Source organism: Homo sapiens, chromosome 17 (genome assembly GCF_000001405.40).
Source record: "Homo sapiens chromosome 17, GRCh38.p14 Primary Assembly".
Lineage (NCBI taxonomy): Eukaryota > Metazoa > Chordata > Mammalia > Primates > Hominidae > Homo > Homo sapiens.
In genome coordinates, this window is record NC_000017.11 from 19,758,326 (window position 1) to 19,781,836 (window position 23,511).

The 23,511-nt window shown below is 46.5% G+C and overlaps 1 protein-coding gene across 5 annotated transcripts in view, besides 4 other annotated features; it reads right to left on the reverse strand.

Moving 5' to 3' along the window:
* Positions 1,072 to 1,609: an enhancer, noted in NCBI's record as "H3K4me1 hESC enhancer chr17:19662710-19663247 (GRCh37/hg19 assembly coordinates)". NCBI's record gives its function as "activates a minimal SCP1, AML or CMV promoter by ChIP-STARR-seq in naive H9 embryonic stem cells {active_cell/tissue: H9 hESC(naive)}" and the evidence as "EXISTENCE:reporter gene assay evidence [ECO:0000049][PMID:30033119]".
* Positions 4,137 to 4,637: an enhancer, noted in NCBI's record as "H3K4me1 hESC enhancer chr17:19665775-19666275 (GRCh37/hg19 assembly coordinates)". NCBI's record gives its function as "activates a minimal SCP1, AML or CMV promoter by ChIP-STARR-seq in naive H9 embryonic stem cells {active_cell/tissue: H9 hESC(naive)}" and the evidence as "EXISTENCE:reporter gene assay evidence [ECO:0000049][PMID:30033119]".
* Positions 4,172 to 4,261: an enhancer, noted in NCBI's record as "active region_11863". NCBI's record gives its function as "activates an Ori minimal core promoter by ATAC-STARR-seq in GM12878 lymphoblastoid cells {active_cell/tissue: GM12878}" and the evidence as "EXISTENCE:reporter gene assay evidence [ECO:0000049][PMID:35858748]".
* Positions 8,439 to 8,588: an enhancer, noted in NCBI's record as "active region_11864". NCBI's record gives its function as "activates an Ori minimal core promoter by ATAC-STARR-seq in GM12878 lymphoblastoid cells {active_cell/tissue: GM12878}" and the evidence as "EXISTENCE:reporter gene assay evidence [ECO:0000049][PMID:35858748]".
* The window catches only part of ULK2 (unc-51 like autophagy activating kinase 2), a 97,107-nt gene continuing 86,100 nt past the window's right edge, over positions 12,505 to 23,511 (reverse strand). For 3 of the 5 annotated variants that reach the window (XM_047437147.1, NM_001142610.2, XM_017025425.3), the window contains exons 24-28: positions 22,661 to 22,779; positions 22,147 to 22,304; positions 19,256 to 19,391; positions 17,984 to 18,082; positions 12,505 to 12,742 (exon numbers count right to left, since the gene is read on the reverse strand). In XM_047437147.1, the coding sequence (XP_047293103.1) occupies positions 18,024 to 18,082; positions 19,256 to 19,391; positions 22,147 to 22,304; positions 22,661 to 22,779 (472 nt within the window). In that variant the 3' untranslated portion in view covers positions 12,505 to 12,742; positions 17,984 to 18,023. Of the gene's footprint in view, positions 18,083 to 19,255; positions 19,392 to 22,146; positions 22,305 to 22,660; positions 22,780 to 23,511 lie in introns of those variants that run through there. The other 2 variants (NM_014683.4, XM_047437148.1) reach the window with 2 other exon arrangements.

Below are 23,511 nucleotides of genomic sequence, written 5' to 3' on the forward strand. Positions count from 1 at the left end.
TGAGTCTCCCAGTGCCTCCCAAACTGGAGCACGCTCCATTCCAGCTGTGTCCTTCCGCCCCATAATCACTAAGACAACCACAGAGCCCCCCAGACCCATTCAAAACCATCCACAAAAATCACATACAATGGAATATTATTCACCCTTAAAAAGGAAGGAAGGCCAGGCACCATGGCTCATGCCTGTCCTCCCAGCGACCCAAGAGACTGAGGTGGAGGATCACTTAAGACCGGGAGCTCAAGACCAACCTGGGCAACATAGTGAGACACCCATCTCTACAAAAAAAGAAAATTAGCCAGGCATAGTGGCACATGCCACCAGGGTTGCTTGAGCCCAGGAGTTTGAGGCTGCAGTGAGCTATGATCGAACCACTGCACTCCAGTGGTGGGCAACAGAGCAAGACTCTGTCTCTAAAAAAAAAAGTAAGGAGGCTGGGCATGGTGGCTCATGCCTGTAATCCCAGCACTTTGGGAGGCCAAGGTGGGCAGATCACTTGAGGTCAGGAGTTTGAGACCAGCATGGCCAACATGGCGAAACCTCAACTCTACTAAAAATACAAAATCAACCAGGCATGGTGGCGGGTACCTATAATCCCAGCTACTTGGGAGACTGAGGCAGGAGAATCACTTGATCCCGGGAGGCAGAGGTTGCAGTGAGCCAAGATTGTGCCACTGCACTCCAGCCTGGATGACAGAGCGAGGCTCTGTCTCAAAAAAAAAAAAAAAAGGAAGGAAATCCTGACATGTGCTACAACATGGATATGAACCTTGAGTGAAATAAGCTGGTCACCAAAGGACAAATCCTGTATGATTCCACTTACGCGAGGTACTTGAGAAGTGAAATGTATAGAGACAGAAAATAGAATGGTTAGAATGATGGTTGTTGGGGGCTGAGGGGAGGGGAATGGAGAATGAGTGTTGAATGGGAACAGAGTTTCAGTGTGGGAAAGATAAAAGAGAATGGGCCGAGTGTGGTGGCTCACGCCTGTAATCCCAGCACTTTGGGAGGCTGAGGCAGGCGGATCACCTGAGGTCGGGAGTTCGAGACCAGTCTTGACGAATAAGCACAAACGCATTGCCTGACCAGGTCTGTTCATGGAGGCCTGAGAGGGTGCGATGGGTGGGGCAGAGCTGGGGTGCGATGGGTGGGGCGGAGCTGGGTCACCCTGAATGCAGGGCGGAGGTGCTTGGACTGTGTTCTGGGGGCAGTAGGGAGCACAGAGTAAACTTCAGGTGGACGTGTATTAGTTGGCCTCTCCTGCAAATGACAAGCACCAAGAGAAGATGCTGCTTTGGCCCTCTGGGAGGAGCCCTGGTGATGCAGGTGTAGGAGCAAGCTGTGGCGATGCAGGTGTAGGAGCAAGCTCGGGGCCTGGGGACCGCTGCATGAGGGTGTGGTCTGTCTCCCTTCCTCTCCCTCTGCCCTCCCTGCCCCCTGCTTGTCTCTGCACATCTGCCTCATTCCTCCTGCCTGCTGGAGGAGAAGCGGGAAGGAGACAGGGAGTGTCCATGGACTCCCATGCCTGTGCTCAGTGAGGCCCCACACTCACACGCACAGCCCTAGCCCCGAGGCCTGCTTGCCACCAAAAGCAAGCATCTCAACACGTGGCCTAATGCCTTCCTCCTGCACGAATCCATGGGGCCTCACTCCCCACTCACCTGTCATTTCGAGATTTCCACGCTCCCTGCTCCTTGGCTGCCCCGCCCCACGCCCCACCCCTCCTTCCTGCCACCCTCTTGTCCATCCATCCACCCAAACCCTGCCTCTGGGCCCTCTGGAAAGCACAGTCCTCCTCCTCCCTTCCTGAACCCGAAATCTGTTTGCCCAAAGGACCAGGGCGGCTTCCCTGCGGCCCTCCTTCCCAAGGGTGCTGCCTTTCTCCAGGCCCCTCACGCCTCAGGACCTGGGGTGGAGAGGGCTCCTCCAAGCCCTGTGGTGCATCCAGGCCGCAGGACAGTGCTTGTCTCCACAAATCCCAGCTCCTCGGAAGCTGACACCATGGCCCGAGGCCCCTCCTCTCTCCCTCTCCCTTAGGGAGGCCCACCTGGCCCTCCTCACTAAGATGCTCAGCGCCAGAGCCCTCGGCTTCTGATCTCATCTGCACCGACTTTTTCTTCCATGCGCCTTCAGCTCACACTGCCAAGGTCCCACTGTGAGCGATGAGCTTTACACAGTGACAGCCCTGGTCAGGAGAAAGGTGCTCTCTCATAACTGATGATGCCTGTCTGGGGCCAGCAGGATCAGAGCTGGAACTAAGGAACAAACACTGGCAAACAAGTGCCTTATTTTTCCATGTAGACCTATTTTTTTCATATTTCTTTTGTGGTAAAAATACATAAAATAGATTCACCATTGTAACCGTTTTCAAGTGTAGAGCTCAGTGGCATTAAGCACATTCACACTGTGTGCAGTCATCAGCTCTATCCATCTCCAGGACTTTTTCATCCTCCCCAAACTGAAACTCTGTGTCCATTAAAAAAACTCCCCAGAGCCACTGGAAACCACCATTCTCCTCTGTCTCTATGAACCTGACGACTCAGTGCCTCATGGAAGTGGAATCATACAAAATTTGTCCTTCTGTGTCTGGCTTCTTTCACTCAGCGTGATGTCCTCAAGATGCATCCCGTGTTGCAGCACGTCAGGATTTCCTTCCTTTTTCAGGCTGAATAACATCCCACCATCTGTCTATGCCTCATTTTACTCCTCCACTCACCAGCCCGTGGACACTTGGGCTGCCTCCACCTTTTGGCTATTGCAAATCACGCTGCAATGAACATGGGGGTGCGAGGATTTCCTCGAGACCCTCTTTCGCTTCTCTCAGGTATATAATCAGAAGCAGAATTGCTGGATCATGTGGTAATCCTACGTTTAACTTTCTGAGGAACTGCCAGACTGTTCTCCACAGCAGCTGCACCATTTTAACATTCCCAACCGCCATGCACAAGGGTTCCAATTTCTCCACATCCTCACAACACTTATTTTCATGGAGGTTACTTAATCGCTACAGTGAACAGGCAGGTCTCAGAGTTTGCCGTCAGAAAAACAACTCTCTTTTCTCTCCTCTGAGCTCTGCAGCTAGTTCTTCCTGGACCTTGGGACGAGAACTGGGGCAAGTCCATGATGTTCCCTCTCCGATCATGAATAACAACTTGATTTCAGTCAGTTAAAAAAAAATGCCTGTTGGGGACGGGCGTGGTTGTTCACACCTGTAATCCCAGCATTTTGGGAGGCCGAGGCAAGCAGATCACCTGAGATCAGGAGTTCGAGACCAGCCTGGCCAACATGGCAAAACCCCGTTTCTACTAAAAATACAAGAAAATTAGCTCAGCGTGGTGGCACACGCCTGTAGTCCCAGCTACTCGAGAGGCTGAGGCAGGAGAATCGCTTGAACATTGGCAGCGGAGGTTGCAATGAGCCGAGATCACACCACTGCACTCCAGCCTGGGCAACAGAGCGAGACTCTATCTCAAAAAAAAAAAAAAAAATGCCCGTTGGGGTAATCCTTGGAGCCTCTTCCAAGTACCTCACCCCGTGGGCCTCTGCAGCTGCAGGTGCTGTGGTGGGCAGGAGGCCCTATAGGCTTCTCAGCCTCCCCACCTTGCTCCTCCTTCTCCTCCTCCTCCTCCTCCTCCTCCTCCTCGGCCTCAGTGAGCCCGGGCTCCACTAAGATCACAGAGGGAAGGTAGGCAAAGGGGCTGGGGAGCAGCTTTCTTGTCTCGCGCCAGTCTCAGGTGGTTTCTTCTGAGGTCCGAGGCTTGCTCGCTCACACAGCAGCTTTTGACAGCCTCCCACACCCTCTGTTCCCAAGGACTGCTGCCCTGGGCTCCCTTTGACGGAGGAGATGCCATCTCTACAGACGGCTCATGCTCCTCTGCTGCTCCTTAGCCTCTGACAGACACCCCCTGCTTTCCTGCCAAGGCCCCCTTACCCCAAGCCCTGGAGCAGCCATGTTGGACAGGACCCCCAGCTCTCCCTGCCTGCGTCTCTGCCCACATCGCCCCCTTGGCACTGCTGCACAGTCTTTGGCCTACAAAGTGTTTGAGAGCAGCTGGCCAGAAATGAACTCCTGGCCATTTGATTTTTCAGGCAGCAGACACCCACCTAGCATGTCCCCCAAGCTTCAGAAGATACATAGAAAAGCTCTCCCAAAGGTGCCACCAAGGAGGGGTGCCAGCAGCCTCAGCCCTCCATCGGAGGGAGACGCTCAAAGCAGTCTCACTTAGCATCCCTCAAAAGCAGGGCCGGGGAAGGAGAGCCAGCGCAAGGGCAACACTGAGTTGGGTCCTGGCTATTTCCGCGGGGGCGCCTGAGCAACGGTCTGGCTGGTCTCCCCTGGCAATGGTGCACCCGGAGGACTCAGCACTGCCCTCTGCTGCTGGCAGGTTGAGCTTAGCAAAATCAGCCTGCTGGGCCCACGGGTAGCCTGCAGCTCCTTCACCATGGCAGGCTTATCCTGGGCTCACGGTGCAAGCATCAGGGTGGCCAAGGATGGAGGCCAGTTGACCTTCACTGGACAAGTCGTCCTGTCCACCTGGTTTGTCCTGTGCCCCTCTGGTGGGCGCTGACACTAAACACAGTACTGTCTGCTCACTGCCTGGGTTATCACAAGTCTTCTCCAGATCGCCTTCGCTCCAACTTGCCAATCTTGCTTCTTCTAAGCCCCTGACCAATCAGCAAAGCCATGCACCACTGCCCGCATGTCTGTGTCTCTCCTTCCCCCCAGCCTCTCCTCTCTATACAAAGGCTATGCCAGGCACGCTGCTGGAAGCTCTGCCCACCTTGCAGACAGGGTCTCCTAGCATGTGACCTAGCTTCACCAATCCAACAGGCCGACACTGGACCTTAAAAGAGCCAAGATGTGGGGACCTCAGGGGTTTTTCTCTCTGACAGCAGTAGTGGTTGCCACAAGATCAAATTTCCCGAGAGGCAGCGGACACAGTGTCAGCAATGCATTGACATCCTCTGCCTATTCCAGTTCTGCAGCTTCATTTCTGACTTTTTTTCCCCAGCTCTCCAGGCCTCCCCCAAATTCTTACAAATAGCCTTTAAAAAAAATAACAAGTTCTTTTCTGCTTAAATAAGCCAAAGTTGTTCCTATGTTCCCATTTTTGCTAAGCTGCACAAAATGGCCATAGGAATTCCTCCCATCCCTGTATGTACAGAGCTTTACAATGTGCCTTTGCTATAAACCCCATCAATAGGGGGATTTCTCCACCTCCTGAATCTGGGCTTGGTCATGGGGCTTGCTTTGGCCAATGGGACACTGGCAAATATGAGGCACAGAGACACGTAGGGTGCTGGTGATTGCGCCCTGGGACTTGCTCTCCACCTACCATGGGACACCACCATGTAAACAAGGCTGAGCTGGCCTGCCAGATGATGGCAGACAGGAGGCCAAGTCATCCTTGATGTCCCAGCTAAACATCATGCAAGTCTACAAACCCAAGTGAAGTTGTCTTAGACCACTGACCACCAGCCATGTTGACTCAGACCAGAACTGCCTAACTCGCCCATAAGCATGATGAGAAATAATACATGCTTATTATTTTAAGCCATTAAGTTTTGGAGTGGCTTGTTATACAGCAAAAATTAACTCATACACTTTCTAGCAACTGAGAATACTGATAGATACCCACATCCTATTGATCTCCAAGGCATTTTAACTCCTACTCATCTATTGAAATCATCCATCATTCTCATGTGAGTAAGTTTCATCTGGTCTCCCTGAATCCATCTGTGCCCCTCTCATCTTTTCTGCAACCTGCCAATCTGATTAAGCCACATCCCATGCTTAAAAATGGCTGCAAGGCTGGGCACGGTGGCTCACATCTGCAATCCCAGCACTTTGGGAGGCCGAGGTGGGTGGATCACTTGAGGTCAGGAGTTCCTGACCAGCTGGCCAACATGGTAAGACACCATCTCTACTAGAAATACAAAAATTAGCCAAACATGGTGGCGGGCGCCTGTAGTCCCAGCTACTCTGGAGGTTGAGGCAGGAGAATTGCTTGAACCCGGGAGGCAGAGGTTGGAGTGAGCCAAGATCTCGCCACTGCATTCCAGCCTGGGCGACTGAGCCAGACTCCGTCTTAAAAAAAAAAAAAAAAAAAAAGGCTGCAAGCTCATCAACATACCTCTCCCTCTCTCTCTTCCCACCCAGACTCTCTGACCTGCAGTCACACAGTGACAGTGCTGACAGCCTGTGTTCTGTTGTGAGCTGAAATCCCCGACTTGCTCACATATACATAAACATGCTTAAAGCTGCACCTAAGCAGATCCATCTGCTTCATTTACATCTAGAGATGGGCTGTAAGAACATGAGCTCTGGAGGAAGCCTGCCTGAGTTAGAATCCTGGCTCAGGGACTCACCACCTATGAGAAATTAAGCAAGTTACTTAACCTCTCTAAGCTTCAGTTTCCTCATGGGCTGGCTGTGGGTTCATATAAAATGCTTAGAACTGTGACTGGCAGGCAGGGCGCAGTGGCTTACACCTGTAATCCCAGCACTTTGGGAGGCTGAGGCAGGTGGATCACCTGAGGTCAGGAGTTCAAGACCAGCCTGGCCAAGATGGTGAAATCCCATCTCTACTAAAACTACAAAAATTAGCCAGGCGTGGTGGCAGGCACCTGTAATCCCAGCTACTTGGGAGATTTAGGCAGGATAATCTCTTGAACCCAGATGGCAGAGGTGCAGTGAGCTGAGATCGCGCCACTGCACTCCAGACTGGGCAAGAGTGAGACTCCGTCTAAAAAAAAAAAAAAAAAACTGACTGGCATGGGGAAGACATGCAGTGTATGTCAGCCATTATTTTCCACAAATATCAGATATATGTTGAGTACCTACTATCTCCCAGGTACTGTCCTAGGAGCTAGGGACACAGTAAGACAGTAAGGTTCCTGGCTTTAGAGAGCTGACATTTTAGTGAGGTGATAATAATAATAAACAAGTAAAAATACACACAAGATGATTTCCGAAAGTGATTACTGCACTGCAGAAAGCAAACCTGCTGGCCTTTGCACATGCTGGTCCCCGGCTCAGAACACTCCCCTCTCCGCCGGCTTCATGCTCCCTTCTTTCCTGACTTCCTTGGCTGGTCCAGTTCCCCTCCCACAAGTCCACATAACAACATCATCTACCTGTCTTCTGTGGCATTAGTCACAATTGTCATGTTGTCTTTATCAACGTCCTATCTACAGTGTGTGCCTCATGAGGGCAGGCCATGCCCTGGCGTTCTCCCTTGTGTCATAGTATAGCACCAACTCAGAGCAGGTGCTTAACAAATGGCTTCGAGGGCATGAATGACAGGAAAAAAAGACCCAATATCAAGCCAAACATCACAATTTCTCAAAATTTGTCCATTAGCCTCTGGCATAGGAAACATCCAGGGAAGGGAACTCCTACCCTAGACCCCACCTGCCCCACATCAGACCTCCTGGCAGCAGGCTTTTTTTTTTTTTCTTTTTTGAGATGGAGTTTCACTCCCGTTGCCCAGGCTGGAGTGCAATGGCGTGATCTCGGCTCATTGCAACCTCTGCCCTCTGGGTTCAAGTGATTCTCCTGCTTCAGCCTCCCAAGTAGCTGGGATTACAGGCACCAGGCACCACACCCAGCTAATTTTTGTATTTTTAGTAGAGACAGGGTTTCACCATGTTGGCCAGGCTAGTCTTGAACTCCTGACCTCAGGTGATCTACCTGCCTTGGCCTCCCAAAATGCTGGGATTACAGGCATGGGCCACCAAGCCCGGCCAGAATCTTTTTCTTCTATGCGCTAGTAGGCCTGAGGTCTTACCTTTCTCACCTACAAAAGCCCATCTAGAGCAGTCCTCCACATGGGGCACCCCCTGCCCTGCCGAGCAGAGGCAGGCCCCAGAAGGGACGTGTGTTGAGGGCAGCCCTTCCCTCCTGGGGGTGGCCCTTAGTTCTGCAGGTCCGAGTCTCCTTAGGGGCAGGCTCGCTCCCCAGCCCCTTCTCAAGCCAAGGGCAGATCTGACCAGCCCCAAGAGGGGATCGAGGAATCTTTGGGGCAAGACAGCAGAGCTTCTTTGGGGAAAAGGGACTTGAGGACTCACCTCACTGCTTCCCTTAAGAAGGGAGATGGGCTTCCGGGGAGCTGGGAGTCCCCAACATCTAGTGACAGGGGGGCACCAAGAGGGCAGCTCTCACGTTTTCTGTGAGTTTGTGCCTTTTCTGAGGTTTTCCTCAGACTCTCAAAGGGGTCCCTGCTGGCGACCCCTTGGGAAGAAGTTACCTCACTGTCCCTTCTCCCCTCCCCATGCAAGACACTGTCCTTTCTCAGGGAGCAGCCTGAGAAGCCTCACTGCCTGGGGGCGGGCGCCCTCTGCCGGTTGAGGGCTGGCCCAGGTCTGGCTCAGCCCACGGGGCGCTGCTGGCAGTAGGGCTGGTCGGGGAGACACATGGGGCTGGACAGGTGTGTGGGGCCTGACCTAAGCTCCTTCTCCAAAGGCAGAGAAGGCACTGAGGTGGGACATGAGTCCCAGGGGTGGGGCCTGCCGCTGACAGTGTGTGGCTGTGGGGGTCCAGAGGCACATGACCTCAAAAGAGTTTGTTTCAATTCAGACAGGCAAGGGCTAGAGTACACATTTTGTATTTAAAAAACAGAGGACATAGCTAAAATATTTATAGAGGATCGACCCCATGGTTTTTTGTCAGCCCCACAGCAAGGAACCAGAACTTGGTTTTGCAAAAATCAATATGCTTACATAGCCCTGCTGAGAGACAGGGCAACAGCCCAAGGCCTGGCTCCCCGGCACTGTAGGCAGCTGTTGCTAGGAACAGGGGCATCAGATCCCAGCATGGCAGGGAGAGCTTCACTTTGCTTGCTGCCACCATTTGTTGAGCACTTGCTAAATGCCAGGCACTGTGCAAAGAGCATTTTCCCCACACAGGTAGGATTAGAAAGTAGTAGTCCTCTTATCTTCTCTAATGGATGGAAAAACTGAGGCTCAGGATGGGAAGGTAACTTGTCCAAATAACACACAGGAAGATTAAAAGTAGAACACCTCATTTCTCAAAGCAGCAGAAAAACAAGTATGTTCCAAAACTACCAATGGAGAAAAATTTGCATGCTGTAAACTAACAGTTCATTAAATTCTGTTTAAGGCTGGATGCGGTGGCTCACGCCGGTAATCCCAGCACTTCAGGAGGCTGAGACTGGCAGATCACCGGAGGTCAGGAGTTCAAGACCAGACTGGCCAACATGGCGAAACCCCGTCTCTACAAAAAATGTAAAAATTAGCTGGGCGTGATGGCACAAGGCCTGTAATCCCAGCTAATGGGGAGGCTGAGGCAGGAGAATCACTTGAACCCAGGAGGCAGAGGTTGCAGTGAGTCAAGATCATGCCACTGCACTCCAGCCTGGGCGACAGAGACTCTGTCTCAAAAAAAAAAAAAAAAAAAAGAAAGAAAGAAAACAATGGAAAATTCCAGAAATAAACAATTCCTAAGTTTTAAGTTGCACACCATTCTGAGCAGTGTGATGTAGTCTTCTGCCATCCCACTTGGGACACAAATCATTCCCTTTGTCTGTCATGTCCACGCCGCATATGTGATCCACCCTATACTATGTGATTGTATAGAGAAAAACAGCATACATATATGGTTTGGCAGTTTCCAAGGTTTCAGACATCCACTGGGGGGTCTTGGAGCATAACCTCATGAATAAGGTGGGACTCCTGCAGTTGCGACAGAGACCAGACAGTCTTCAAAACCTAAAATATTTGTATTTTTCAGTACAGGAAAAGCTTGTCAACCCCTGGTCTACACACCTGGTTATCTTGGACCATCCTGCCCCAGACTTCCTCCGTAACAACCCATATAATGTTTCTATGACCATAGACGTAAAAGGAAACTGTGACCTTTACCAAAATAAGCAACTTATTTTTCACAAATTACTTATGTAATAAGCATCCTGTTTCCAAAACAGACCTCAGTTTTCAGGTCCGTTTTGAATTGACATTTGTCACACTGCTGACTCCTTTGTTACTGAGTGAACGATATATTCTTGAGACCAATTTTTCTAAGAAATGTTATTTTAGCACATGTTCCATGGAAAGGAGGGTTTACGTTTCCAAAATACAGATGTGACAAAGAGGAAGCACATCTGATGGCCAATGAGGAGAAACAACAGAGTGGATCCTGAGGCCTCCCGTGTCCTTTCAGCCTCCCTCTGCTACTCCCACTGCTGGCCACACCAGCCTCAGGGAGGGACTGCCATGTGCACTTTCCACGGCAGCTCATTTAACTCTTGCAGGAAACCCAAGAGGCATGTTGTGTTTCTGTCTCTGCTTTACTGACAAGGACAGGGAAGCCCAGGGAGTGAGGCGTCTCACCCAGGTCAGTGTCGGCGCACACAGGAGGCAACCAGGGCATGTGGCAGGGCCCCACAGGACACCAGGGCCTCTCAAACCCACTACCCTTTCAGGCCCCTCTGCTGCTCACCATTGGTGAAGTGGGGCTGTCAGGAGCAAAGAGAATTTCTGGATTTTCTCCTAACATTTTCCCCTACTTTAACCTCCCTTCATCTGTTGAATTTACTGCAAATCTTTCCTAGTCTTTTAGTTTTCCTATACTTAAAAAAACCTTGTTTTTAAAAATTACATAATTAGGCCAGGCACAGTGGCTCATGCCTATAATCCCAGCACTTTGGGAGGCTGTGGGCGGATCACCTGAGGTCAGGAGTTCGAGACCAGCCTGGCCAACATGGTGAAACCGTCTCTACTAAAAATACAAAAATTAGCTGGGCATGGTGGCACGTGCTTGTAATTCCAGCTATTCAGGAGGCTGAGGCAGGAGAATCACTTGAACCCAGGAGGCAGAGGTTGCAGTGAGACGAGATCACGCCATTGCACTCTAGCCAAGGCGACAGAGTGAGACTCCATCTCAAAAAAATACACACACACACACACACACACACAAAGTTAGCCAGCCGTGGTGGCACACACCTGTAATCCCAGTTAGTTGGGAGGCTTAGGTGGGAGAATAGCTGGAACCCATGAAGCAGAGGTTGCGTGAGCTGCGATCGTGCCACTGCACTCCAGCCTGCAGCCTGGGTAACAGAGTGACACTCTGTCTCAAAAAAAAAAAAAAAATTTTTTTTTAATTATATAAGCTCATGGTGAAAAATATCAGCATTATGGAATATAAAATTAAATGTCTCCTGTAATCCTAGCACTTTGGGAGGCTGAGGCGGTGGTTCATTGAAGGCCAGAAGTTTGAGACCAGCCTGGCCAACATGCTGAAACCCCATCCCTACTAAAAACACACAAAAAATTAGCCAGGCCTAGTGGTGGGCACCTGTAATCCCAGCTACTTGGGAGGCTGAGGCAGGAGAATCACTTGAACCTGGGAGGCGGACGTCGCAGTGAACTGAGATCGCACCACTGCACTCCAGCCTGGGTGACTGAACAAGACTCCGCCTCAAACAAACAAACAAGTCTCACCCACCCTCTAAAATAATTCCCATTTTCCAAGTCCATCAGACACTACAGATAGGGAAGGAAAACTTATTCCATTGGACACCCACAGATATATCTTTATCATCTTATAAACACTTAAAATGTATTCAAACCTTTTGTGCATACTTTCATCATATTGTAGGAAAGTTCTCCCAAAGAGACAGGTGTATGGGGGTGCTGTTTTCTTTCTCAGAATGTAAAAGGGATTTATGAAAACAAAACTGTTCGTGCTCAAAATATTCTGGGTTTCTACTAGAAACTAAATCCATTTTCCAACCACAAGGCATTCCATATCAAATCAGCAGCCTGCACTCTTCCTGCTCTTTATGAGAATTCCTACCTAAATCAGTCATCTTTGGTTTAGCTCCAAAGTTTATCAACTCATCTTCATCTTCACTGAAATTTTCCAGAGGAAGTGGAGCAATAACCTCTAGCCACCCAGGGCCCCTCAGAAGCCCTGGCTGTAGGTTTCCCATCATTGCTTCCTGAAGGGAATCCATGTGCTAGACAAGAAGTCACTTTATTGCCCGTGAGACTTGGGAGAGGCCTTCCAGAGATCTGGCCAGGCTCAGCCACTATCTTCTTCCCCAGCCTCTCCCTGTAGTAGCGGGTGGGGGTGCCAGTGTAAACAAGGGCCCCCATGTGGGCTGAGATGGGAACAATAGGACAGAAGGTAGGAGAAGGCAGCAGCTGGGTGGACTTGGTGGCTGGAGATGGGGTTCTACATGCCATCCTCGTCCTGCGTAAGCCAAAGGGGACTGGCACTGAAAGCTAGGCTGGGCAGGCCGAGGTGAGAATGGGAGTGCACGCAGCCTCAGCAGGGCAGCCTCTAAAGGGCTTTCCTGGAGAAAGGGGCTATGTCTACTGCCATCAGTGAAGGAACTGGCCCCAGCAGGCGGCAGGGCCTATGGCAGGGGAGGGTCCTCTGGGCACATCTAGACTTGAGAGTCCTCCCACTTCCCACTGAAACAATTCCCTGCTGCTCAATCTCACTGCCATATGCAAAAACAAGCAAACAGGAACACTTAAAAGTGGGTCGATCAAATGCTTGAGTTTATTAACATGTCTCCCAAGTCTTTTTTACTGGGAGTTTCAGGGTGGTCTCTGAAATCCATTGCTGTTGAGCTCCAACTCCAGGCCCCATGGGGTTGCACCAAGCTGCTCAACCTCACCTGTTTCTTGAAATTTTGCTGCCTTCCACTAGGCAGATGGGTCCAGCAGGAGACATTGGAGCACCAAATGGAAAAGCTCTTCCTTCCTTCCCCTCTTCCTGTACATCAGAAAGAATGCATTAGAAACTCAAGGAGTGAGCATTTGGGCTTCCTAAGGGTGAGACAGTGTGGGGCTCCTGTGGGGAGATGGGTACTCCTGTACCCAGTGTGGCCTCCTGCTCCCACCGCTTTCCAGCTGTGGGGCTTTTCCTTGTGGAAATTACTGTCCAAGTTTGATTTTTCCATCTGTAAAAGGAGGCAAGTAAGGGTTGGTATGAGGATCAAATGAATTAACAATTATCAGACTGACACAAACATTCCACTTAAACAGCCAAATTGACTTAAAAGGGCAACATAGATGTCTGAAGCCAGACTGCCTGGTGGGCAAGCTGGAGAAAGCAACTTCTATGCAAGAACTGTGTCCTTTCAGAAGCTCCAGCCAGAGCGTACGTGGTTGGAGAGAGCCCTGAAGACAGGCCTTGCCCCACACAAACACAGAACAAATTGTTCTCCACCCCCTCCCAAAACAAAACAAAAGCAGTGAAGAGCCACAGAGTGATGACCACTACAACGGATACAGGATTGCTGAGCCCTTCCACGTGCCAGGGGCTGGGCAAAGAATTTCATATTCATTAACTTATTTCTCACCTCAACTCTGTGAGACATGCACTCTTCCCCCACTGACAGATTCGGAGGAGGGGAGGAACTTGCCAAAGAACACACAACTGCACATGGTGGAGCTGGAATTTGAGACCAAGTGGACCACTAAGCTACCTGCCAAATTGAGTTGCAGAAACCCCAAAGGAGGCATAGAACACGGTTTCCAATAAACAAGAGCTCATGTGGGCACTTCCTAATGACAGAAGCTAACTGTCCAAGAGCACGACTGTCTTGGGACAGGAGATCATGCTGCAGAGCCCAGGGAGGTCCGCCCTGCGCAGAGAGGGAGTGCAGACCTAAAGAGAGCCACACTCTGTGAAAAGTGGAAAAACCTACAGATTGATCCCACCTGTTCAGAGCAACAGGCACGGCTTCACTCGGGACCACATGTGCCCAGGGGCTCCACAGGGCTGGGTCCTGGCTCTGGCCATCTCTGCACAGCCTCTGCTGGGCCACTCTGTGAGAGGTCACGCTGGCAGCAAGATCTCAGCCTCTGCTCCTTTCCCTAGTACAGTTTGATCTCTGAATTCACTTTGATCTTTTACCAGTTCGGCTTCACCTCTTGCACCAAAGCTGTGATTTCTCAGGGCAAGTTGTCAGCTTTCCCGTATGCAGTGTTTTTCTAGGTGGATTGTTTCTGATGTGGTTTCCTCTGATGCAGGTGAGGGAAGTATCATCTTGACTCCTCCACCAATAAAATTATTCTCACAGGGCTTTACTAAACATGAGACTTGGGAGGGACCCAAGAGCTTGCTTGGCTGCAGATTCAAGGGTCCAGGACTCAGAAAAAAGTGGTCTGAGGCCGTCTAGAAATAGGCACAGATACTTCCAGGATGCATGTAACAATACCAAGTTCTCTGAGCAGTAGCTACTGCCTGCCAAATAATCCTCCTTGAGAAATACTGATCAATCTTGCTTTATTCCAGAAAGAATTTAAGACTGCTTATAGAAAATACGAGGGAGCATAGTTTAAAAAGTGTGAAGTCCTCCTCCAAAACATGTGCTAACCACTAATATCAACATTAAGGATAGCCCGGGCGCGGTGGCTCACGCCTGTAATCCCAGCACTTTGGGAGGCCGAGGCGGGCGGATCACGAGGTCAGGAGATCGAGACCATCCTAACACGGTGAAACCCTGCCTCTACTAAAAAATACAAAAAATCAGCCGGGCGTGGTGGCAGGCGCCTGTAGTCCCAGCTACTCGGGAGGCTGAGGCGGGAGAATGGCATGAACCCCGGAGGCGGAGCTTGCAGTGAGCCAAGATTGTGCCACTGCACTCCAGCCTGGGTGACAGAGCAAGACTGTCTCAAAAAAAAAAACCAAAAAACAAAAACATTAAGGATTTTGGCCGGGCACGGTGGCTCATGCCTGTAATCCCAGCACTTGGGGAGGCTGAGGCTGGTGTTCAAGACCAGCCTGACCAACATGGTGAAACCCCATCTCCACTAAAAATACGAAAAATAGCTGAGCGTGGTGGCGCATGTCTGTAATCCTAGCTACCTGGGAGGCTGAGGAAGAAGAATCACTTGAACCTGGGAGGCAGAGGTTGCAGTGAGCCAAGATTGCGCCAATGCACTCCAGCCTGGGCAACAGGGTGACTCTGTCTCAAAACAAGCCAACAAAAAAATAATAAGGATTCTTCAGATATCTGAGTCCAGGTCCTCATGTCCACTGTGTCTAACTCAACTTATTACTGTGCAGACTGAGGCAATCCAGCCCTAAAAATCCTCTCCTCTCAAGCTCCTGGACGGGACTCTAGTGAGGGCAGAACTGCTGGGCTGGTAATTCCTCTTGGTGGAGACAAAGGAACATGGGACTACGGGCAATAAGTTACTTATCAGTCTTCACTAGAGGTTGTTTCTCTCAACTAAAGTTATCAAAATTGGGTGTTGTAATTTTTAACTTGATATTCCCAGACAAGTGCCAGGAGAGAAGCTGTTGCAAATGCTGAGTGGAGAGGAGAAAGCCTCAGCAGAGAGGCGAGCTGGAGGGAGGGATGGATGCTATCCTTCTCTGGACTGAAGCAGTTACAGGATGGCTGCACAGAGTACTCCTGGCAGGCAGAAGGGGGCGTGGGGACCCAGACACTTAAGATGCATGGGTTTGGGGTACCCATTCCAGGCCTCATGTCCGCTGTATCCAACTCAATTTCCTCTTAATTACTGTGGAGACTGAGGCAGCCCGACCCTAACAGTCCCCTCCTCCCGGCTCCTATTCACCACTCCAGCGAGGGAGAACAACTGTTGCTCTAGTTACTTCTCTCAATGGAAGGAGGGGACAGGGACTGTGGGAAACCAACTATATACAGCATAGGCTCTCTCTCTATATATAGTCCAGTGGAGGGTATAGTTAAAGCAAACCCTTAGAGCAGGAATAGCTGGTCAGCAATTTTCCAGGTTATGGCTTGAATACAGGTGTCAACCCATGAATGTATGAACTGGTACATTTCCACTCTATGAAACACGATATGAAATTTAAAAATACTCAGGGAAACATAAAGCATTTGTTTATTATTGCTATACTCAAGGCAAAATCTCTTAATTAGCCTTGATAATGGAAGTATAACCAGAACCATTATTCATGAATTTACATTTTGTTCTTTTCTGCTGTTGAGACTTCACTGTTTCACACACACCATCTACCCCAAGACCTTTAATATACAAGAACAAGAAGAATTAACTTGAAAGTCACAAAGCATGGCTTGACCACTTGCCTAGTTCCTGACTTTAGGCCAATCACTTCCCCTCTCTGAACCTGTTTCATCCTGTCTTAAAAAAGAAATGGGAGAGGAAGAGGAGAGGATAGAATAAACCTACAACTGAGATAACACAGGTGATAACTGAAAGAACATGAATGAAATTTCACTGTGAATAAAAAATATTATATAAAATAAAGTATCACTAATAACAAATAGGGTTGTGGAGGTAAAACAGTCTATGTTCCTGGAAGCCTGCATGACAGTAGCCAAGATCTAAATCCTGGGGCAGGACAAAGGATATTCATGGCCAAGTCTCTAAACTCACTAAGGAAGTACCTGGCTCAACAAGCCACTTAATATGTACCCAGCTACACCCTAGAAACACTTTGTCAGTTTTATTTTACCTTAATATACATTTGTACAGGCAATAATAAAAAGGCTATTACACAACAATTCAGTGAGTTTTACCTAGTTTCAAGAATAATGCATGCAGTTACAAATGAGAGGTAGAAACACTGTATTAAAGACCTAAAAATACAAACGTCATATAAATAAATGTTCAAATTAACTACTGGAATTTCATACAGATAAATAAGGTAAAAATTACATTACTTTGTCAAAGTAAAGGAAAACCATGTTTGTTTTTATCAGTACATTAAAATTAGATTAATGCCAAAGAGCTCTGTGCAATTTGTCAAAGAGTTCAGATTATTTTATGTAAAAGGATTAAAATAAAAGGATTAAAATTGGTGAATGGTTTATTCAAGTATTCAAGCAGGTAAGTAAAAGAAACCAAGTAATACACAACGTAGGAACCATTCCTGGAGGGATATTAAGTTAACTGCCTGCATTCTCCATGACTAGCTATTTGGTGAACTGTCAGAATTAACATGAAAAATACACATTAGGCAGAAGACAGCTGCCCATTTTCCTAAGAGAAAACGAACTTCATTTTCCACTCACTGCATGTAGGAACTCCACATCACTAACAAGCCTTTAGGTCACCAACTTTGTTTTGGCCCTATTCAAATTATCAAGAGTATCTCTTGATCCATGATTTTGTTTCTAATACTGCCCAAATAAACCTAGCCTTTAATAAACCTAAGGTCACAGGCATCAATGTACATTCTGCATGCACAATAAAAAATGGAACCAAAAGCTAACAAAAACATTACTGAGAAAATCTGTAGGTGTAGATAAAGAAGTAAAAAAAAAAAATGTGCAAAGGTTCACATGAATACAAGTTTTAACCACTTAAAAGTTCACTGGAGATTACATGTGAATTCTGGAAAGGGTCTATGTATACAATCAAGTAAAATATTTTAAACAAGTCCATTGTGCCTTAGTTAAATTACAAAATCCAATACACAGTTGTTTTAATAAATTAGTGCAATATGAAAGATTTTGGAAGATTAACATGTATCCATATTAGGATCAAATTGAAGATTTCAAAATTTCTTCCAAGATCCATGTTTCACTTCTTCTTAAGCTATTTCTTCCTGAGCTGTTTAAAGATGCATGCTCAGATTTAAACAAACTTACTCCAAATATCAAACTGCCTGGATGAGGGGTGAATACATTTACCTTTACACCTCAGCAAACACATGGAATTTCACACACTGCTCTGATGAACCCAGTGACGAGCACTCACTTTGTTTCATTTTTAATTATCTTTAAGAATAACTGTACCGATTATCCTAGTTCTAAGGTACATTTATTCACCAAGTCCAAACTGGGAGCCAAACACTCTTGCTCCTGCTTCTACAAAGAAAAAGGGAAAGGGTGATTTTCTCCAATAAGGCAGATTTCCTACAAATATGTAGTTTTTGGATTGTTTTTCCTTTTTCAAATCACTGCTTGTTCTTTGGTAGTCACCAGTTAAGAAGCTACAGTTTCCTGGGGATGGGGTGACAGAACTCAAGCTGTAATCCCAAAGGCATCACCTCACGTTCCCACCACCGGTCCACGGGATGAGCCTGCTGCTCACACGGTTGCGGTGCTATGGCAGAGCGCCGACAGTCTTCTCTCAATACTACATTTATCTAGAAATAAAATAACAAAAATGAAGAACTAATGAAAAAAATCACTATATTGTCATCTCTATTCTATCTTTGCCCCAAAGTTAACAGTTCTGAATATGTTTTCTTCTTTCTGCTTGGTAATAGTTTAGATATGACTTCTAGCTTAGTGCTGCAAAGTGGTAAAATTTAGGTAAGCACATCAGCTAGCTTGCTACATAACTAGCTTGCTCATAACTGCAAATACTCTTAGAACTGCCATCCTCCTGTGGCTACTCAAAATGTAGCAGGACCACATACACTCCAACCAGTCCACCACCTCTGCCTAAAAAACCAGATTATTGGGCTTGTATGTGATAAGTAATAACATCCTGGTATCCCATCAATCTCCAGTCTGCTATCTATACCAAGTCTGCAGTACACAGAAGTTTCACAGGACTCTTTAGTCACTAAGCCCATGAGGCTTAAAACAGTTACATTTAATAATAAAACTAAAGTCCTCCTACATATACGAACACTTGCCAACAAAGTAACACCGTGTAGAAATCTAAAGATGAATTACGCAGTCACCAGTGCTTTTCATGCATCACCTGTAATCCTCACAACAACCCTGCAAGGCAGGCACTGCTGTATCTATGTATCTATCTAGTTATGCATCTATTTATCTATATATCTATCTATGTATCTATGTATGTATCTACCTACCTACCTACCTATCTACCTACCTACCTAACTACGTAGAATGGAGTCTTGCTTTGTCGCCCAGGCTGGAGTGCAGTGGCACAATCTCAGCTCACTGCAACCTCCACCTCCTGGGTTCAAGCGATTCTCCTGTCTCAGCCTCCCGAGCAGTGGAGCTTACAGGTATGCGCCATGATGCACAGCTAATTTTTGTATTTTTAATAAAGACGGGGTTTCGCTATGTTGGCCGGGCTGGTCTTGCACTCCTGAGCTCAGGTGATCCGCCCACCTTGGCCTCCCAAAGTGCTGGGATTACAGGCGTGAGACACTGTGCCTGGCCCTACTCCTATTTTATGAAAAAGAAGCTGAGGCCACACAAAGGCTGTGATTTGCACAAGGCTGGAAAGCCACGATTCAAACCAAGGCAGAATTCCAAACTCCAAGCTCTTTGTACTATGCTTGTGATAGACAACTAAAATGAAGTAAAAAAATACACTACTTTGTAAGTCAACTTACATTTATGCACATTTTCAATATCTGCAGGGTCCTGTAGAATCCTACTTAGGCCTTCCAAAAGAAGGGCTGCCTTATGATAGCGATAAACAATATCTTCGGTCTGCTGAAACATCTCATCCAGGGCTGCAGACTGAACCTGGAACCAGTCAACAAAAACACAATTCTCTCAATTTTTCCAAGAAAATACAAATCCATTTGGGCAATGAAGCTTTAAATGGAATCCACCTAAAATTAACACATTTTGGTAAAGTGATACAGTCTGCAAAACTACATAAAACTCAAAGATTCTTTGGGATGAGCAATATATAAGAGCAACTTCATAAAAAGTCGGTCTGCTTTCAAACACAGCCTTCTGGTATTCAGAGGTATGCTTCATAAATTTCATACTAGAACCCTTCTAAACTGGCTCTTTTATGACTTCATTATAAATTGATTTTAAACACACACTTCCATATAAGGGTAACCTGAAATTTCATTAAAGTAGATTTTGTTTCAATAATATAATTAAATGATGCTAATAGTCACTTGCTGGCTTTACTGGCTTCTTTTTCTAGCCAAATAATTTTTGGGTGTAGTCATTCATTCATTCAAAGATACTTATTGAGCACCTAACAAAGTGCCAGGCACTGCGCCTACAATGAAGGAGAGCTTGCAGTCTGGAGGGAGATACAGTCCTGCAAAAAATGCAATTCTAATGCCAAGGCACACACGGTGTTACAGGAGGAAGCACTGGATGATACGGAATACATAGGGGATGCCTCTAACCTATATTACGGAAGGAGAAGATGATTAGGGGAAGCTTCCAGGAGGTGCTGTTTGTGCTGAATCATAAAGCAACAACAGCAGAAGTGAATCAGGTGAGGAAAAATGTGGGAAGGGGCTCTCCAGAAAGAGGGGATGGTAGCATTATTCACAGGGGTTTCCCCATCGACATTCTGATTTTCTCTTTGATCATTAAGTACCAGAACTCTCAGAAATCCAGTATCCGAATTTACTTGTTAATATGCTATATCTTGTTTTTGTTTTTAATTTTTAAAATGTATTTATGCATTCTTATATAGATGGGGTCTCGCTCTGTTGCCTAGACTAATCTTGAACTCCTGAGCTCAAGCAATCCTCTTGTCTCAGCCTCCTGAGTAGCTGGGACTACAGGTGCATGCCACTGCACCTAGCTATTCTCTCTCCTTCAAAAAAAATAATTTCAAGCAGCTAACAATAAAGCAAATAAAATGGATACAGAAGATCAGAGCCAGGACAAGGAAAAAGAAAAAAATAACTAAGTGTTAATGCCTCTAAGCTCACTAAGCAGCCAGGACGAACGGAGGAATTTATAAGTTATAGGGCTCTTTATTCTGAGAAGGAAAAACAGCATTATAATTCCATATGGAGGACATTTTTCTGGTGCAAAATTCTAAAAATAATTTATCATATGAGGTCTCAACTCAGCATACAGTGATGCAGTGCATATTATTCATCTCAATAGTTTACAGCAATATGATATATACTATTTTTGTCAAGAATTTATATTCCAAAGTTATTTTCCTATGGTTATTTTAATAAATTTCAAAATAAGGCCACGGATGTAATATAACAGCACAGTTCACAGTAGACAAATAGAAAATGGAAAGGGGGATCTATTATGTTAATGTGTTAGAAATACAATTGGCATGCCGGGCACAGTGGCTCACACCTATAATCCCAGCACTTTGGGAGGCCGAGGTGGGTGGATCACCTGAGGTCAAGAGTTCAAGACCAAGCCTGGCCAACATGGTAAAATCCTGTCTCTACTAAAAACACAAAAATTAGCTGGGTGTGGTGGCAGGTGCCTGTAATCCCAGCTACATGGGAGGCTAACGCAGCAGAATCGCTTGAACCTGGGAAGCAGAGGTTGCAGTGAGCCAAGATCATGCTGCTGCACGTCAGCCTGGACGACAGAACAAAACTCCATCTCAAAAAAAAAAAAAAAAAAAAAAAGAAAAACATATGATTGGCTAACTAATGAATTTTCCCCCACTTAACTACTTTTTCAACAGCCTCTATTTTTATTTATACTTTAGAGTAATTTTTCCCCGAGAGGCAGAAAACAAATTATTTCCAATATTAAAACCAGAAAATAGGAAAAGAAGGTTTTACTTTGTGTCTATCCTACAATATCAGTAAGTGGGACCTGAGCACATAAATTTGTGTGGATTGATTAATAAAGCAGTGTTTTTCCTAAGAGTTTTATCAAGCCTAACTTTCTTAAACAGCAGAAAATGCAGAAACAGATCCTGCTAATGCTTTTAGATGCACACTATAAAAAGATTAGATCGGCTGGGCACGGTGGCTCACATCTGTAATCCCAGCACTTTGGGAGGCTAAGGAGGGTGGAACACCTGAGGCCAGGAGTTGGAAACCACCCTGGCCAACATGGCAAAACCCCATCTCTACTAAAAATACAAAAATTAGCTGGGCATGGTGGCAAGTGCCTGTAATCCCAGCTACTCAGGAAGCTGAGGCAGGAGAATCACTTGAATCTGGGAAGCAGAGGTTGCAGTGAGCTGAGATCGTGCCACTGTACTCCAGCCTGGGCGACAGAGTAACTCCGTCTCAAGAAAAAAAAAAAAAGAAAAAAAAAAGATTAGATCATGCCTAATGCCAGCAATGTTTAATAAGAGCTGTAATAAACTTATAGCAAATGTGGTAAACGGATTTGTAATTACTTAAAATACATCCAGTAAATGACATTAACAGTTGCTTAAATCCAATTACTTCTTTAGTAGAAGGCAATCCACAATACTTGGGACTTGAGACATTATCTTTTAAAAGGATAGCTGTCATATAGATATTCAATTAAAAAGACACTTAAAGATAAGTAGTACTATACAATATTAAACCTTAGAAAGGGTTACCATTTCTACAGCACAATTATAGATGAGTTTCTCTGCAGTCACACTGTTGATTTCATCAATAAACCTCTGTTTGTCAGAGAAGAATCGATTCAGCTTTTCTGTAAGTTTCTTGCACATGGTGATGCAGAATTTATATCGTTCGTTCAGATTCTTGACAACTGAAAAAAAATTGAGATGGGAACTAATTTTAATTTTCCTCCAGAAATAAAGACACAGTTATATGTATCTTTCCTGCTGATATATAGGGAAGGTGTCACTATGTGATCATTCAAAAAAAGGACCAGAAATAGGATTTTTTCATGTTATCTCTTTCAATATGAAAAGATTGAGAATAATGCACTTCAGACTTCTATCAATTGAACTGCAAAAAGCTAACAACCCAGCATCTTTTCCCTTTAAGAATACTGAAAAATAAAAACAACAGTGAGTACTCATCAGACACTCTCTCACAGTGTGATGGGAAAGAGCAACTTAAGGACTGACCCCTGGAGTTACACGCTGCCTTCTCCCATACCTTGTTTCACAGCTGTGGATGGGCTCAGTTTCCCGGACTTGATCTGGGCTTTGGCAAGATGCAGAGAAGCCGCAAGCAGCTGTGCTGCTTTCATGTACAACACCAGCTGCTCCACCCGCCTGCACCCAAAAGACAGTAGCAGAGGGTTATCTTGTGAACTAATGTAAGATGTGGCACTCTACACAACAGGTCACCATTAAAATTGCCTTTCTATAAAGGAATAGCATCCTCTTTGATTTCTTTTCTTCTTTCTTTTCTTTTTTTTTTTTTTTTTTTGACAGAGTCTTGCTCTGTCCCCCAGGCCGAAGTATAGTGGCTTGATCTTGGCTTACTGCAGCCTCTACTTCCTGGGCTCAAGGGATCCTCCCACCTCAGCCTCCCGAATATTAATAGTTGGGACCACAGGGACGCACCACCATGCCCGGCTAATTTTTGTATTTTTTGTAGAGACAGGGATTCATCATATTGCCCAGGCTGGTCTCGAACCCATGGGCTCAAGCAATCCTTCTGCCCCATCCTCCCAAAGTGCTGGAATTACATATAGGCATAAGCTACTGCGACCAGCCCTCCTTAATTTCTTAATGCACAAGTAAACTCTCAAGGGACAAGGCATAGTTAAAGATGTGTGTACTGTGAAAATAACGGATACACTCAGATAAAAATCAATACAATCTATTTACACAAAAGAACTTCAACAGTATAATTTACAAGGAAAGGCAACACTGAGGTTGCATAATCTCCAGGTCTTGGCTCATATAGTGAAATGTAGTACAAAGAAATAATTGAGACTCCTAGCTTTTAATAATGAGATATGATCTTCAGTGGATGACAATACCTACAACTTAGACACA